This window comes from Homo sapiens, chromosome 6 (genome assembly GCF_000001405.40).
Source record: "Homo sapiens chromosome 6, GRCh38.p14 Primary Assembly".
NCBI classification, from domain to species: domain Eukaryota; kingdom Metazoa; phylum Chordata; class Mammalia; order Primates; family Hominidae; genus Homo; species Homo sapiens.
In genome coordinates, this window is record NC_000006.12 from 108,858,049 (window position 1) to 108,874,678 (window position 16,630).

At 42.7% G+C, this 16,630-nt stretch overlaps 1 protein-coding gene across 18 annotated transcripts in view; it reads left to right on the forward strand.

The window, feature by feature from the left end:
- ARMC2 (armadillo repeat containing 2) overlaps positions 1-16,630 on the forward strand; it is a 204,619-nt gene that overhangs the window by 9,627 nt on the left and 178,362 nt on the right. For 15 of the 18 annotated variants that reach the window (XR_007059340.1, XR_007059341.1, XR_942600.1 and 12 more), the window contains 2 exons: positions 151-223; positions 10,776-10,947. Coding sequence is in view for 11 of the 18 variants with exons in the window: in XM_047419396.1 (XP_047275352.1) it covers positions 151-223; positions 10,776-10,947 (245 nt within the window). In the remaining 7 variants the exon portion in view is untranslated. Of the gene's footprint in view, positions 1-150; positions 224-10,775; positions 10,948-16,630 lie in introns of those variants that run through there. The other 3 variants (NM_001286609.2, XM_011536172.3, XM_006715574.3) reach the window with 3 other exon arrangements.

Below are 16,630 nucleotides of genomic sequence, written 5' to 3' on the forward strand. Positions count from 1 at the left end.
TTTAAGTACAATAACATGAAAAAATGTTTTTCCTCATGGTTTATGCATTGCATCCTTTTACTTGTTTTTTAGCTAGGGTTAACTAATATATACTATAAATAAAGAAATAATTCTTCACAAACTAACACTCTGCACCATCTTTTATGCTAGCCTCCATGCATCCAGTTTTGAGTCATCTGATTCCAGGCCTATCTCTGGCACACGTCTTAGTCCACTAGAGCTGGTGAGTACTTTGTATAACCACCAGTAATTTATATTATGTTGTGAAATGAAATTGGCCAAAAACACTTGGAATCAGTACTTATATATGCTATGATAATTATCATGTACACCTAAATAGACTAATAATTTAATATGAAAACAGATTCTTTTATATTGTTCAAATGTAATGGGTAATATCTAATGAAATACTTCTATAATTTACCTATAGTTTGATAATAAAGAAGAATTTTTAAAATATATAATAACTTGGTAAGCAATATTTCACAATATTTTTGCTTTCTTAGTTATACATATGTATTATTTTCTTAACAGTTATATATACAAAAATTAGATGTATAATTTATATTAAAGTTATATATCTTATACATATATAAAAATCATATATATTTATATGTAGTCTCTCTATATATACATTTACATATAAATATATGTATTCAAAGATTTATTACAAAAAAACTAACAAAAATCCAATGGTCTCCTGTCCCCTTGTTCTTCATTGTTCCCTCCTCAGTGGCTTTCACTTTAAGCTCTTTCGACACATCCTTTTAGGATTTACATCCAGACTTCCCAATGCCACACTGTCTTGCTGCTTTCTGACTTATGAGCTTGAGGAATTATCTAATGACTTCTAAGGAAGATGAAGATTTAGTTTCTGTCTGTCTTTTTGCCTCTTATCACAATGCGTTCACCTTTTCTATCCCCACTATTACTCCCATATAGATATAACTTTGGTTAGATCTGTTTTCTCTGACTGTGATTACATAAACCCTGTTCATAGCTGAGACTTGAATTAATGATAAATTCTCCTTTCCTGTACCACTTTTTGTTTTCCCTGGCATTAATAATTGCCTTACTTTTAAAGTTTTGTATTATTAGTATTTCAACCCCAAACTCTTCCCCAGTGGCCTTAATCACCTTCTATGTTCAGGCACATGAGGCATTCTATGGATTTACCTCCTTGGAGAACTCTTCACACGTCCTGCCCAACCACTTTCCCTGAGCACCTGGTGCACAGCTCTCCTGGGGTGCCCCTCACCATCCTCCTGGGGAGACGGCTTCTCCTTGTGCTGGCTTTTTCGTGGTTCTTATGTCTCAAGTCCTCTTTCTTGATTTACTGTGGATTTGGTAGAGCATTCCCTCCTATAGTTTCTTGAGAAAGGGTACATGGGAAGTAAATTATTTGAAACCTTGATTCCTGTTTTTTCTTCTCTGGAAGTTTGTAGGATGTTTCTCTTTGTTTCTAGTGTTCTGAAATTTAATAACAATGGTCCTTTGTGTGAGTCTATTTTTATCAATCATGCTGGGTACTTGAAGGGCCCTTTCAATGTGGAATTTCATGCCTTTCAGTAAACATGGATATTAATTGAATATTTAATATCATCATAGTGTCTTACCCACTTTTTTGTTCTGTTTGCTCTTTCTAGAATTTATTATTCAGATGTAGGACTTCCTGGCTGGGCGTGGTGGCTCACGCCTGTAATCCCAGTGCTTTGGCGGACCCAGGCAGGCAGATCACCTGGGGTCCGGAGTTCGAGACCATCCTGACCAACATGGTGAAACCCTGTCTCTACTAAAAATACAAAATTAGCTGGGCATGGTGGTGCATGTTTGCAATCCCAGCCACTAGGGAAGCTGAGACAAGAGAATTGCTTGAACTCGGGAGATGGAGGTTGTAGTGAGTTGAGATTGCACCATTGCACTCCAGCCTGGGCGACAAGAGTGAAACTCTGTCTTAAAAAAAAAAAAAAAAAAGATGTAGGACTTTCTGGACTGACACTTCAGTTTTCTTATTTTCTCTCTTTTCTGTTTTACATCTTTTTGTGGAAGAGACTGTATTCTGATCCCTTTATTGAGTTTTTTTTTCATTTCTGCTGTCATATTTTTAATTTTCAAAAGTTTTTTTCCCTCTACATTATCTCTTTGTATAGTAGTCTGTTCTTATTTCATGGTTGTAGCATGTTATCTGAGTATATTAGTGGTAGTTTTGATTTTTTAACTAAGTTTTCTTCTCCCTTTATAGTCTCTGTTGCATTTTTGTCTCTGCTTTTTACACTAGAGACTTCCTCTGATGCCTCATGCTGTTTGTTTGGCTGTTCTTAAGAGTAGTGGCAGCCAGGCGCGGTGGCTCATGCCTGTAATCCCAGCACTTTGGGAGGTTGAGGCGGGTGGGTCACGAGGTCAGGAGACCGAGACCATCCTGCCTAACACGGTGAAACCCAGTCTCTACTAAAAATACAAAAAATTAGCCGAGTGTGGTGGCAGGTGCCTGTAGTCCCAGCTACTCAGGAGACTGAGGCAGGAGAATGGCTTGAACTGGGGAGGCGGAGCTTGCAGTGAGCCGAGTTCGCGCCACTGCACTCCAGCCTGGGCGACAGAGCAAGACTCCATCTCAAAAAAAAAAAAAAAAAAAAGAGTAGTGGCATGTGGATTGAGGTTGGTCAACCTATAGGTGGTATCTACCCACACCTGTAGTTAGGGGGATCTGACTGGGCTGTGTTGTTGATGACACCCCAGTGGCAGTATCTTTAGGACTTTTCTTATGGGCTAGTTATATTCTCTGTAAAGAAGTATCTTCCACGCTGTTTCCTGGATGTTAAAGTCTGGTTGCTAGCTTCCAGGTGCAGGAAGAAGGTGAGAATGCCCAGCATTTAGGATATAAATATTCAATTAACATCCATGTTTATAATAAGTACTCTGACCTCAACAATAAGGGTACTTACAGTAATAGTACCCTTACTTATTGACCTCAATTAAGGAAGACCCTCTGTTTTACCTTCTTTAGAGAATAAACCCATCTTCTTCTGGCTTTGGTAGCCTGACTGCATGGAGCTGGGAAGGATGGAATTACACAGAATTTCAGCTAATCCTCCTTACTTTAGCCACTCCTTCCCTTCTACCTCTGCTACCAAAAGTACTTGGTGATACCAGTTCCCTAGGCTTTATGAGATTGGTATGTTAGTCAAGCGCTTCTCAATTTCTGTTACTCTGTGTTTGTGTGTATGTGTGTTTGTATGTGTGTGTGCGTGCACACGCATGTGCTTGTATGTATGTTTGTTTTGGATGAACCATTTGAAAGTAAGTTGCAGACATTGTGATACTTCATCCACAAAAATTTAAGTGTGCATCTCATATGAACAAGGACAGTCTCCTACATAACCATGATACCATCATCATAGCTCAGAAAATTAACATTACTCAGTAATATCATTTAATGTATAGTCCATGTCCAAATGACCCCAATTGCCTCAAAATGTATCTTATATTTTTAAAGTATTTATCAGAATGCCTCTGTGAGGAAGATTATACTTGTTCATGTATTGCAGATGACAAAAACAAGATCCCAAGATAGCAAGCACGAACCAATATTGCAAGAAATAATTTGCCAGCTATTGTTGACACATGGCTTGTTAACGTCTACAACCTTGGGAACCACTTGGGTTTTGAGCCAGCTACAGCCTGAGGACCCAGTTCGGCAGCTCGGTGGCTCTACCTTATTGTAGAGTGGCTCTTTATTCTATGATTCTGTTGTTTGACTCCTGTAAATTGCTTTTAATATTACTGTAGTTTTTTGGGGACTCACTCAGTTTGGGACTCAGTTTGGGTTTACCCTTCCCTTAAAAAGAATCTCATTTTCTAGAGATAACCTGGTCCTTGTCAAACTGGTACAGTTCTTGGACTGCAGAATTAGCTATTGGGCTAAGACAAGATAGGCATTTATCTGTTTAGGGTCATTGAACTTAAATTTCCATACCTCTGAATGGTTGGGTGCTATGTTCACAGTAAAAGTAGACGGCTAGGCTCAGTGGCTCATGCATGTGATCCCAGCATTTTGGGAGGCTGAAGTGGGCAGATCACCTGAGATCATGAGTTCGAGACCAGCCTGGCCAACATGGTGAAACCCCGTCTCTACTAAAAATATAAACATTAGCCAGGTGTGGTGGCGCATGCCTCTAACCCCAGCTACTCTGGAGGCTGAGGCAGGAGAATCACTTTAACCCAGCAGGCAGAGGTTGCAGTGAGCCAAGATTGTGCCACTGCACTCCAACCTGGGTAATAGAGTGAGACTCATCTCAAAAAAAAAAAAAAAACAAAAAAAACAAACAAAACCAAAAAGCAAAGTAAAAGTAGTCTAAGAAGTTCCCATTTTAAGGAAAGTGACTGCTTAATTTGAGATTGTGGTCGTTGATGTTATTGTGGATTATGTGAGGGTCTTAAGTACATTTCATTTTAAATAGTAATTAAAATTTGGGGCCCCCAGTCAAAAAATTCTGAAAATGTCCCCATGCTACCTGACCTTCCACCTTTTTTCTTCTTTATCACTTCATTTTTTTAAAGAACTCTTTGCCTCTGATAACCACTAAATTGGCAAAGGGCAGAGATAGGGGAAGGGAGAGGGAGTGGAGAGAAGGAGATAACTGGAGAGAGAGGGAGAGAGAGTGGCAGAGGAGTGTCTCACAGTTAAGGGACACATTTGCTGAAAGAGTTTGTGAGGACCTAACCAGTTGAATCTCAGTGCTTTTTGGATCTAGGACACTTTTCAGACCAGTTTGCCTTTTAACAAGTCCTCCACCAGCAGTCAGTCAGGGAACAGGGACTCAGACAGCAGCCTTTCAGCTCCTACATTGAGCAGATTAGCTCAATGCTGCTTTTGTACAGCTGCCCTCTCTCTTTCTCCCCATCCTATCTGGCATGTGCTCCCCACTCACCCTCCAGCGGGCAATGGGCTGCCCACACTCAGGACTGCCCAGTGCTTCTGAGAAGAGGAAGAGCTGACGCTTGTGGTTCCTGATTGCTCAGGCCCTGCCCTCCAGCCCGACTTGCCCAGGGGGTTCCTGTTAGCAGAAACACTCTGATTTGTAGGGTTTTGTTTGTTTGTTTGTTTTGTTTTTTCTGAGACAGAGTCTCGCTCTGTCACCCAGGCTGGAGTTCAATGACATGATCTTGGCTCAGTACAGGTGTGCACCACCACACCTGGCTAATTTTTGTAATTTTAGTAGAGATTGGGTTTCATCATGTTGGCCAGGCTGGTCTCAAACCCCTAGCCTCAAGTGATCCCCCCACCTTGGCCTCCTAGAGTGCTGGGACTACAGGCATGAACCACCATGTCCGCCTGATTTGTTGTCTTTCATTAACGTTTATATCTACCTGCTATATAGGTGTGCCAGTTTACGTCTTTTTTCCTTCTTAGCAGCTCCCAGCTGCTCCACAAGAGCACTGAGACCTGGGGCAGTTGGGTGATAGTTACTCCATTTTTCTTCTACTCTAGTTAGATGGTGTTCAAATTTCGTTCACACAGAGATAACTGCTCTCTTGCTTTGAATTGTATAAAGTCAGAAAAGAGGTGTGACCATGTGAATACACAGGAAGTGTTGTCTTTCATCATTATTTTAGTCAACAAAATAGAATTTTCTTGGTTTCCTAAACTTACCGAGTCCAGTGATGTAAACCCCAAATGTTTTCGTTCAACTTTTTATTGACACAGAAGAATTCAGCTTGATACATTTACACAAACTAAACACACTCAGTAACCAGCATTCAAAAGGAAAAAATAGATCACTGCCAACATCATCAAATTGATCATTTCTGGGCTCAGAATCCGCCACCATGGCCCCTCTCAGCCACTGCCTCCTCTGGGCAACTACCAGCCCCACTTCTAACAGCGTGGATTAGTTTGAGCCACATAACTGAGCTCCAGGTAATTGATAAGTGAAACAAAATTTAATATTTTTAAAAGAAAGGGACCTAGGAACTCATATAAACCTTGGGGATGGGCGATCCAGGGTAAGACAAGTAGAGTAGAGCCAAAGCAGTGTTTTTTCTTTCACAATTGCTGAAGCAAACAGTGACATTACAACAGTGAGTCACATGCCAAGAGTGACAGAGGACCCCAGTGTACCTGTGGAGAAAATCATAGTTAATAGAAATGCACACAGAACTGCCGCGTCACAAAGGTTCTGTGCTTGTGTGATTTTTTTTTCTTTTCTTTTTTTTTTTTTTGAGATGGAGTCTTGCTCTGTCACCAGGCTGGAGTGCAGTGGCATGATCTCAGCTCACTGCAACCATTGCCTCCCGGGTTCAAGTGATTCTCCTGCCTCAGCCTCCCAAGTAGCTGGGACTACAGGCGCCCACCACCATGCCCAGCTAATTTTTATATTTTTAGTAGAGACGGGGTTTCACCATGTTGGCCAGAATGGTCTCGATCTCTTGACCTTGTGATCCACCTGCCTTGGCCTCCCAAAGTGCTGGGATTACAGGCATGAGCCACCACGCCTGGCGGCTTGCGAGAATGTTTAATATTTGCTTTCTGACTTTCAAGGTGTCTTTTGTTGCGTGTGTGTGTTTGTGTGTGTGTGTTCTGCTGCTTTACAGATTAAATTGTGAGCACCTTTCTGGGGTGAGATGTCCTGAACTCCCTTTTCCAGTTGTCACATAGGATCGGGGGAGACCCTGTTGGGTGATCTGGAAGAGCCAGGGCAGAAATTGGCCAAGGTGACGGTGCTTGGAAGAATTGTGGTCAGCCTGATGGATACCTTAAACGTTCTATGTATTGTGTCTTCTTTGACGGGGTTGTCCTATGGAAATAGACTGTGTGTCCTCAATGGACTCTAACAGGTCCACCAGCCAGAACAGACCTTAAAATATGACTGTGTCTGTGTCCTTGATTATACTCAAGTCATGGGTTAGTGTCAGGAAACAAAATGTGAGGTAGTTAATATTCTCAAGTGAATTTTTTTTTTTTTTTTTTTGAGACAGAGTCTCCCTCTGTCACCTGGGCTGGAGTGCAGTGGTGCAACCTCCACCTCCCAGGTTCAAGCAATTCTCCTGCCTCAGCCTCTTGAGTAGTTGGGACTACAGGCATGCACAACCATGCCTGGGTAATTTTTGTATTTTTAGTAGAGATGGGGTTTCATCATGTTGGCTAGGCTGGTCTTGAACTCCTGACCTCAGGTGATCCCCCCGCCTCAGCCTCCCAAAGTGCTGGGATTACAGGCATGAGCCACCGCACCTAGCCCTCAGGTGAAAATTTAAACTTACTTGCAACATTTTCTGATTTCTAAAATTATTCAAATTTTATAAGAGAAACATGTTTGCTGTTTTTCTTTATAAAAGTCATTTTACTCCACAGCGTGAAAGAACATTTTGTAGAACTTGGCATAAAAGAAATTGCTGAGTCATTTAGTTGTTTTCTCTTAAAGAATTAAAAATGCTTTACATATGTCACTTTATATTCTAAGTAGTCCCATGAGATGCGTGTTTAAATGGGACACATAATTTATTAAATGTCAGTAGTAAAATGGAACCGAATTTTTATTATATACAGTTACTAATTTTGCACTAAGAAAATAATGCCTTTTATTGAGGAGCATTTGTGGGACTTTGCTCTTGCCCTGCAGAGAAAATTCGGTGACTCTCTTTTGGGGAAATTTGCTTTCCAAACCATATTTTCACTCTTTATAAAATCTTTTGGCTGAGTGTGGTAGCTCATGCCTGTAATTCCAGCACTTTGGGAGGCCAAGGCAGGAGAGCTTTTGAGCTCAGGAGTTTGAGACCAGCCTGGGCCACATAGGGAGACCCTGTCTCTACAAAAAATAAAAAATTAGCTGGGTGTGGTGGTGCATGCTTGTAGTCCCAGCTACTCAGGAGGCTGAGGCTGGAGAATTGCATGAGACCAGGAAGTCAAGGCTGTGGTGAGCCATGATCGTACCACTGCACTCCAGCCTGGGTGACAGAATGAGACCCTGTCTTAAAAAAAAAAAAAAAAAAAAAAGATCTCTCATTTAGTACAGTTTGGGTGTCTGTAGAAGGAGCTGTTTACTTTGTCTGCATGATTGTTAGTTGACAGATTTCTTGATCTTTGTTTCAGTTTCAGGGTACCTGCAGAATACAGACATTTTGAGTTAAGAAAACCACACGTCTATCTTCAAAATTGAGATTACCCTCTATATTTCATTTTTCATAATTGCACAGAAAACACCTATTTTCCTGTATTACAGTCTTAGCTTTTCTGTTCCTATTAGCTTCATGGCCTAAGTAACATTCCTATGATTATTTTGCAACAAAGTGGGGAGGCTAAAAAGTAAAGTGATTACTTGTTAAACAAATATAGTGCAACTTATGCAGACAAACAAGTGTTACCTCCTTCAGAACAGACCCCTCAGAATCCAATATCTTAATTCTAACAAGCCTGCGTCAGAGGCTAGGGCCTTGACTATGAGAGGAGTTAAAAGTAACTTGGAACCAAACCTGATAAATAAGGGGTGAGCAACTTACATGGGGAAGGGAACTGGCATTTCTTGAGCTTCCATAATAGGAATTGTGTTTATGGGAATGGCCCTGTAAGAAGGAGACTACTGTCTCTGTGTTATAGCTGGGCAGTTTCAGAGAAGTAAATGGCCTGCACAAGTTCACATAACTAGTGAGTGGGTCCTTCTCCAGGTCTCCAAAAGTGATTTATGCTTTCTTCCATATTATGATGATTATTTTATTTACTGTTTTTTTCTAACTGTGTTAGAAAAATGTGTCTTTAATATCATAGAACAATTTTTTTGGTCTGGTTTATAAATCGATCCTAAATACAAATGAACAAGAGGAAATAAACATTTTGAAGAATGTCATCATTATTGAAATGAACAACTTCTTGGAAGGAACACCCTAATATAGATGTCTATGTTCTATTCATGTATGTGGGAAAACAAGTGTTTGGGATTATGCGTCATACGTGATAAATGACATCACCCAATTTTCCAAATTATATGACTTGAATTTCACACTGGATGTTTCAAAAATTTGTTGATTAACTTATTGGATAGTGACTCACTCATTCACATGTTATAGAAGTGACTTTAGGAATGTTAACTTGATTATTTTTGGTTAGAGCTAAAAACACTTGCTGCCATAAGGTTGTTCTTTCATAGGCAAATAACTGTGCTGACATTGGAGGCAGGAAGGATAAGACCACCAGGCAACTGTAAAACTAGGAGCTGAGTCACCCTGTGAGGGTCTGGCATCAGGTCGGAGGCCACTCAGATTAGAGGGAGTTCTGGGTGGCACAGAACTTGGTGCAGGTGTTTTTTTTAAAGTTTTTAAGGAATTAGAATTTTGTTAGTAATGTTCCTCTACTAAGAGTATCAGCATCGACACTTAAGAAAAGATGGGGGAAAAAATAGGGAGTATCAGCATAGAATTTCTGAGATGTAAAAAATAAAACATTTTCGGCTGGGCACAGTGGCTCACGGCTGTAATCCCAGCACTTTGGGAGGCCAAGGCAGGTGGCTCACCTGAGGTCAGGAGTTCGCGACCAGTCTGACTAACAGGGTGAAACCCTGTCTCTACTAAATACAAAAAAAAAAATTAGCCAAGTGTGCTGGTGCATGCCTGTAATCCGAACTACTTGGGAGGCTGAGACCGGAGAATCGCTTGAACCTGGGAGGCGGAGGTTGCGGTGAGCCAAGATCGTGCCATTGCACTCCAGCCTGGGCAACAAGAGTGAAACTTCATCTCAAAAAAAAAAAAAGTTAGCTGGGTGTGGTGGCAAGCTCCTTTAATCCTAGCTACTCGGGAGCTGAGGCCGGAGAATCACTTGAATCCGGAAGGCGGAGGTTGCAGTGAGCCGAGATCGCACCATTGCACTCCAGCCTGGGTGACAAGAGTGAAACTCCATCTCAAAATAAATAAATAAATCAATAAATAGAAACAAAACACTTTCATAAGTCCAAGACAACTTTTTGCTTTTATGTTTTATGACTTTTCCACCTAACTTATTTAAAAATTTTGATATCATTAAAAAAATACATTTGTGGCATCCAAAATATGTAAATGTACCACTTACATTCCACATAATTCTTGGTACATGTAGGTACTCAACAAATGTTTTCTGAACTGAATTGAACTCAGAAATTTTTAAAGCATGTTGAATATGCTATATGTAATTTTGTAGTCTTTTTTTATTTGGGGGTGGGGGGGCGGGATGGAGTCTTGCTCTGTCACCCAGGCTGGAGTGCAGTGGTGCAGTCTTGGCTCACTGCAACCTCCAACTCCTGGGTTCAAGCAATTCTCCTGCCTCAGCCTACTGAGTAGCTGGGACTACAAGCATGCGCCACCATGCCCAGCCTATTTTTGTATTTTTAGTGGAGATGGGGTTTCACCATATTGGTAAGGCTGGTCTTGAACTCCTGACCTCAAGTGATCCACCTGCCTCGGCCTCCCAAAGTGCTGGGATTGCAGGCATGAGCCACTGCGCCCGGCCAATTTTGTAGTCTTTTATACAGATAATATCTGTTTGCTAGCATGGGTAAACTGTTTTACTCAAGTATGGTAATAGCACAGCAGAGTAGTTAATACAATATGATTAAGAAAAACAATTAAAAAGTGCTTTATGTATACATATATCACATTATGTAAGATGGGCCAGTGAGTTGGTAGAATCAGGAAGCCAAGATGAAGGCAGGCAGATAGGCCTTGTGCTCTTCTGGAAGGGTTGTGGCCAGCTCTGAGGTAAGTGTTATTTGAGACGCAGAAAGTCATTCCAGTTATTTAAAAAAATCTCTTTCCAGAAACCGAAAGTTCCAGCATCTCCCACCAGAGAGGAGGATTCCTGCTTTTCCTTTCCTAAGCCCCCAGTGGACCCTGCGAAGATTAGAAGAGTAAGCAACGCCAGGGCTCGCTTATTCAGGGCTGCCTCCCAGCGGGCCCTTCTGCCGGACAGATCCCTTCCTCCCTCCGACTGTAAGGCCATGTAACATCCTGTAATCTCTGGGGACAGGCATGCTTCTTGAATTTGCACACAAAAGCTAATTTTATATGATTTTTCCTAACCCTGGATGATTTTTATATTAACTAAGATTAGTTAATATTGGGCAAAAGCTGGCTAAGAAACATTGTTCATATATTTTTCTGGGTGCTTATAAGGAATACCTAAATATTACAGTTGGTAGGAAAAGGAAATTAGGATAAGTGACTGGGCGCGGTGGCTCATGCCTGTAATCCCAGCACTTTGGGAGGCCAAAGCGGCCAGATCACCTGAGATGAGGAGTTCGAGACCAGCCTGGCCAACATGGTAAAACCCTGTCTCTACTAAAAATACAAAACTTAGCTGGGTGTGGTGGCACGTGCCTGTAATCCCAGCTACTCGGGAGGCTGAGGCAGGAGAAGTGCTTGAAACCAGGAGGTGGAGGTTGCAGTGAGCTGAGATCGTGCCACTGCACCCCAGCGTGGGTGACGAGCAAGACTGTCTCAACAAAAAAGAAAAAAAAGAATATTAGGATAAGTATTCCCTAGTGGATGGTTCATGTATATTAGAAATAAATGATTTTTAAATTAGAGTTCAAAAAGTTGTTAATTTTATTAGAAATTAATGAAAATGATAAGATTCTTATAATGCACATTAAGCTTATTTCTTTGAGAATGCCCTTCTGATCCCGTGTGAGCATGTAAGCAAAATTTGAATGGGACTTCTACTGCCTGAGAATTGCTGCCAGGCACCTAAACCTGGGAACAGAGAGGCTAAAGATCACAGCCTGAGGAGTCCCACCAACAATTGGAATCACTCCCCATCCAGGGCATACTAAGGGTTTCTCAAACTGTGGAAAAGGACCCAGAAGTGGGATGACAATCAATTTAGTGGATCACACCAGCATTTTTAAAAAATGAAGTAGAATAGAATATAATAGAAAATGTCAGAATACATGACACACGATAGGGGTAAGTATTGCTTCAAGAGACTTTACTTCGGTCTTCAGTGTGTGTTCAGGGTCATATTACAAACTGATTTCTGACTGTGTGTGGTCAAAAAAAGTGGAAACCACTTTACCAGGAGCTGACAGAACTGGTTCTCCCTCCATCAACAAGATTTGATGAAGAGAGATAGGCTTACAGTCACAGAGAATTGGGGAGAGCCTGGAAGATACATACCAAAGATCACAGCCCCCACCTGAGCATCATACTTGACAGACAAGTATTTTTTTTTAATTCATTTCCAACATTTAAAAGGTAGAAGAATCTCATGGAAGAATCCAGATTTATGACTTCTTGTGAAAAATCAGAAAATCTGGCAACACTGGGTCCCCATTCCATGCAGCCACAATGGGGCATGATCGGAGCTGAGTGGTACCTCCATTCTGTGGCCAGGATATGATCTGCAGTCACCATGTCCCCAGCCTGTGCCATTCACTTGCCTGTGTGGTCCCTGATGTGGCTGAAGAGTTAGAATAAAGGAGAAAAAGAAAGAAAGAGAGAGAGAAAGAGAGAGACAGAAAGAGAAAGGAAGGTAGGAAGGAAGGAAGGAAGAGAGGGAAGGAGAGAGGGAAGGAGGAAAGGAAAGAAAAAAGGAAAGAAGGAAAGAAAAAGAAGAGAGGGAGGGAGGAAGGAAGGAAGAAAAGAGAAGAGAAAAGACAAGACAATGAGGATGTGCAGGGTGTGTACCTCATGCTGTGATGCCATGACCAAGTAGATCATCAGGCAACTTGCTTTACCTTGATGTCCCGATTTGTTTCCTTTCTTACACTGCCAGTCGATCTGATATTTATCAAACTCCTACTAAGTGCCAGGCACCATTCTAGGCCAACAAAGTTCTGTCCTCAGAGAGCTTACAATCTAGTGAGAGGAGATAGACAATGACAGGAGAACAAATAAGTAAGAGAATTTGAGTGCTGATGAATGCTCTGAAGAAGATAAACAAGATAATGGACTCGAGAGTGACTGTGGTGGGGTAATTTGCTTTAGCTCAGGTGGCTCTGAAAGGTATCTTTGAGGAGCTGGCAGCTGAATAGGAAGGTGCCTCATGAGAAGGAGGCAGCCATGTAAAAATCCATGGACCAAGTGTCCACATGGAAGGAAAAGCGAGTGCAATGACCGGGCACGAGAGCAAGTGCTGGTGGTGGAGGACCTGGAGGTCCAGTGGCTGGAAAGTGGCTGATCAAGGGAAGTTGGAGAGAGCTGAGGCCACAGAACTGCCCAGGGCCTCAGAATATGGAAAACACACCCAGCTGTGTTTTACTTGTAGTGAAAAGATAGGGTTTACCAAAGGGAGAGACAATGTGATGTAGGTTTTTTCACCAACAGCAGTTCTCAGCTGTAGCTGCCCATGAGAATCACCTGAGGAGCTTTTCAAACGCTCCCCCCGCAACCCGAGTCCCGTGTCAGCTCAGGTAAATCAGAAAGGGTTGGTAATTGCAGGAACAAAGGGTTTGCCAAGATGAGAGGGGCTGGGACCTGGAGGTGAAGGGCACTTCTTATGAACAGGATGGCAGGATTGGTGCAAGGACTCATACCTTGTTTTTTATTCTGTGTTCTTGCTTGTGAGGTTGAATACTGTGTGTTTCATGTATTTTTAACTTTTGGGAGTGCATGCTAGAAAACCCTGCTGCTTGCTGAGGTACACACTGATGTGAAAGTGACCACAGAGATGAATGCTTTGCCCACCATCCCCCTCCTCAGTGCTTCCCCAGTGGCTTAGCTCCTTCCCCGCTGGGGTACCTGCCTGTTGTCTGCATGCTCTGGGAGGTGCCCTCTGCAGCTGTGATTTCCCAGCACTGAGGCCAGCTTCACACCTCCAAGGTGCACTGAAGCATGTTTTCATCGTGGTTCTTTTATCCACCCTGTTTGCAGTCACCCCTCTTCACCATTCAGGTCATCCCTGAGGTCTGGGCCAGCATTCAGGAAATACTGGCAACAAAAAGTCATTGTTATTTTAAAAGCACATGTCATCCAATTATAAAGTTATAAAAAATATTTGAGCTCTCCAGCCTTGGAATCATTGTCATTTGTATAAGAGCTCCCTGGGTTTCATTTCAGATCTTCTCTATTGTTTAGAAGAGGTAGGCTTTGTGGAGTAACTGAGGCTGCAGAAATGGAGGGCATCCCTTTGTTTGCTGTGAAGTCATTTGTGGCTGATGCTACCCCACAGGCAGGGCCGGGGTGTGGTGGCAGGTTTGGAATTCCTGCTTCAAGACAGTGAAAGAGGAAGAGATTTGTGTAGTCATCTCCAAAAGGCCAGCAGTATAACTGCTTTGCGTTCACACAGGGTTTTTGGCTGGAGGTGGCACTGCTGTGAATGCTTCCCCAGTTATTCAAGCCAGACAAGAGGCCTGAGAGCAGTACCACCTCCTCAGCCATCCCTGTCACACTCTCCGTCACCAAGCCCTACACGTGCTTCCTGACTAGCTCTCGAGTCTGCATTCTCCCTCACCACCGCCATGCTGCCTCCATCCCTCTTGCCTCATCCTGTTTTGCTGCTCTTAAACCACCGTCTGCTCACTGGGGTGCTGTGATGGTCTGCAGGTGGGTGGATGCGAGGCCCTCAGCCAGAGGAACAGCCAGTGGAGCCTGAGGATGCTGAGCTCCCAACACGACATGGCTGTGAGCAGCAGCCTTATCCCTTTATCCCAGGGGACCATGAAAAATGATCATTTTCTGTGTGTTCCATAAAGCACAAGAGGTCGGGAAGCAAATAAAGATCAGATTGCACCACCCTCTTGCTGAAAACCCTTCAGAGGCCCTGTTGTGCCTACAGAAGTGTTTGCCAAACTGAGTTCCAGGGAACTCCAGGGAACACTTTTGGCAAAATGTTAATAGCTTCTCTTTGGAAAAAGGGTTCAGTGCTCAAATAGGTCAGGGAAACACTGCCTACCCCTCATCTTCTTGGAGAGTCTCTGCACATGAGCGTATTAAAGTGTTGGTGGAGAAATCTGTTTAATTTTAATTCAACACAGCATTTCACAAACCTGCTGGACTGTGGGATCTGTCTTTTGGGAACACAATTTGGGAAACACTAGCCTACTGTAGAAGTTGGCAAACTTTTTCTGTAAAGGGCCAGATAGTCAATATTTTAGACCTGGTCCTTATGGTCTCTGCTCAGCCTCCTCCGTTTTGTATTGTAGCATGGAAGCAGCCATCCACCAATTTATGGCCACTGAAACTTGAATTTCATGTAATTTTCACTTGTCACAAAATATTGTTCTTTCTTTGATTTTTTTTCTAACCATTTAAAAATACAAAAACCGTTCTTAGTTTGCAGGCTATACGAAAATGAGATAGGGCAGATTTGGTGGGGTTTGTAGTTTGCTGAGCTCTGGTGGGGGTGGCGGGGGATGACATCCCAGCACCTCCAAGTGCACAGCTGTGTTGTGATCCAGCCCCAGCGTAACATTCCAGGCCCTGCTCACGCCTGTCCTGGGCCTGCCCCCTCACGGTGGGTGCACCGGCAGGGTGGAACCCCTTGTTGTTCACCACACCCACCCTGCTGTTTCAAGCCTCAGGGAGAACCTATGTAATTTGCTGGGCCCAATGCTGAATGGAAATGTGGGGCCCTTTGTTCAAAAATTATTAAGAGTTTCAAGATAGCCACAGCAGAGCCTTAAAACAAGTATAGGCCCTTCTAAAACTGGGGCCCTGCCTGACTGTACTGGCAATACACACTTGAAGCTGGCTTTCACTCCAGACTTTTGTTCTCTTTTCTTCAAGCTGTTTACGTCTTATTAACCATTCAAAATGCTTCTCAGCCCCCACCTCCTCTGTGAAGCTTTCTCTGACCAACTCCCAACCCCTCAAGCTTTCTCCACTCTCTCTGCCCCCTCCTTACCTGGCTGGGGTCACACTGGGCTTCATTTATCTCTTTACACATCTGCCCCCTTTGTCTCCCCTGCTAGATAGAGCAACGTCATTAAGAAAAGTGTTTTTCTCTGTTTGTTGCCCAAGAGCCTATTACAGGGTGTGGTATATAACAGGTATCAAATAAATATTTGTGAACCTGAACTGGTCCTGTGTGGTAAGGCTGCTGGGAGCTGTCTCCTTTTGAAGTTTACCCACGATCCATTACAAAATTCATATAATGTGCTGCAACTGTCTACCGAGAAGATACAGACCATAGTTACACATGCTCAGTTTCATCGAGGACATTCATCAGGAATGAGAGTGAGCCCCCCAGGGCAGCTCTTCGTTGTAGTAATACCTGACAAGCTTACTCCAGTAGATTTGAAGATAGACAGGTATAGCTCCTTGACCTATAGGTATGGTTGGGTTTCCCTTCTAGAAGCTCCATGATGGCTGGGACTTGTTCACCATGGCTTCACCCGTGCAGTAAACAGCACCTGGCACATAGTCGTGGGTGCTTAATAAATATTCAGGGAGTGAATGAATGAGAGAAACGAATGCTAAAAGATAACGGTAGGCTAAAAATACTTTGTAATCGGAAACAGAATGTGTGCTTCATAATTCAGTAGTAAAGTCATTTAAGGTGGTGTGGTGATATGGAGAGAGCCCTAGCCCAGAAGTCAGGATTCTTGGGTTCCAATAATCATGACAATAACTTCTAGGTTTTGAGCGTGCTAGCACCATGTAAGTCACTTTACTAGGCCACATCATTTAAAATCTCACCACATCCCCAAGAGGTGGGGACCATGGAAGGTGGTGT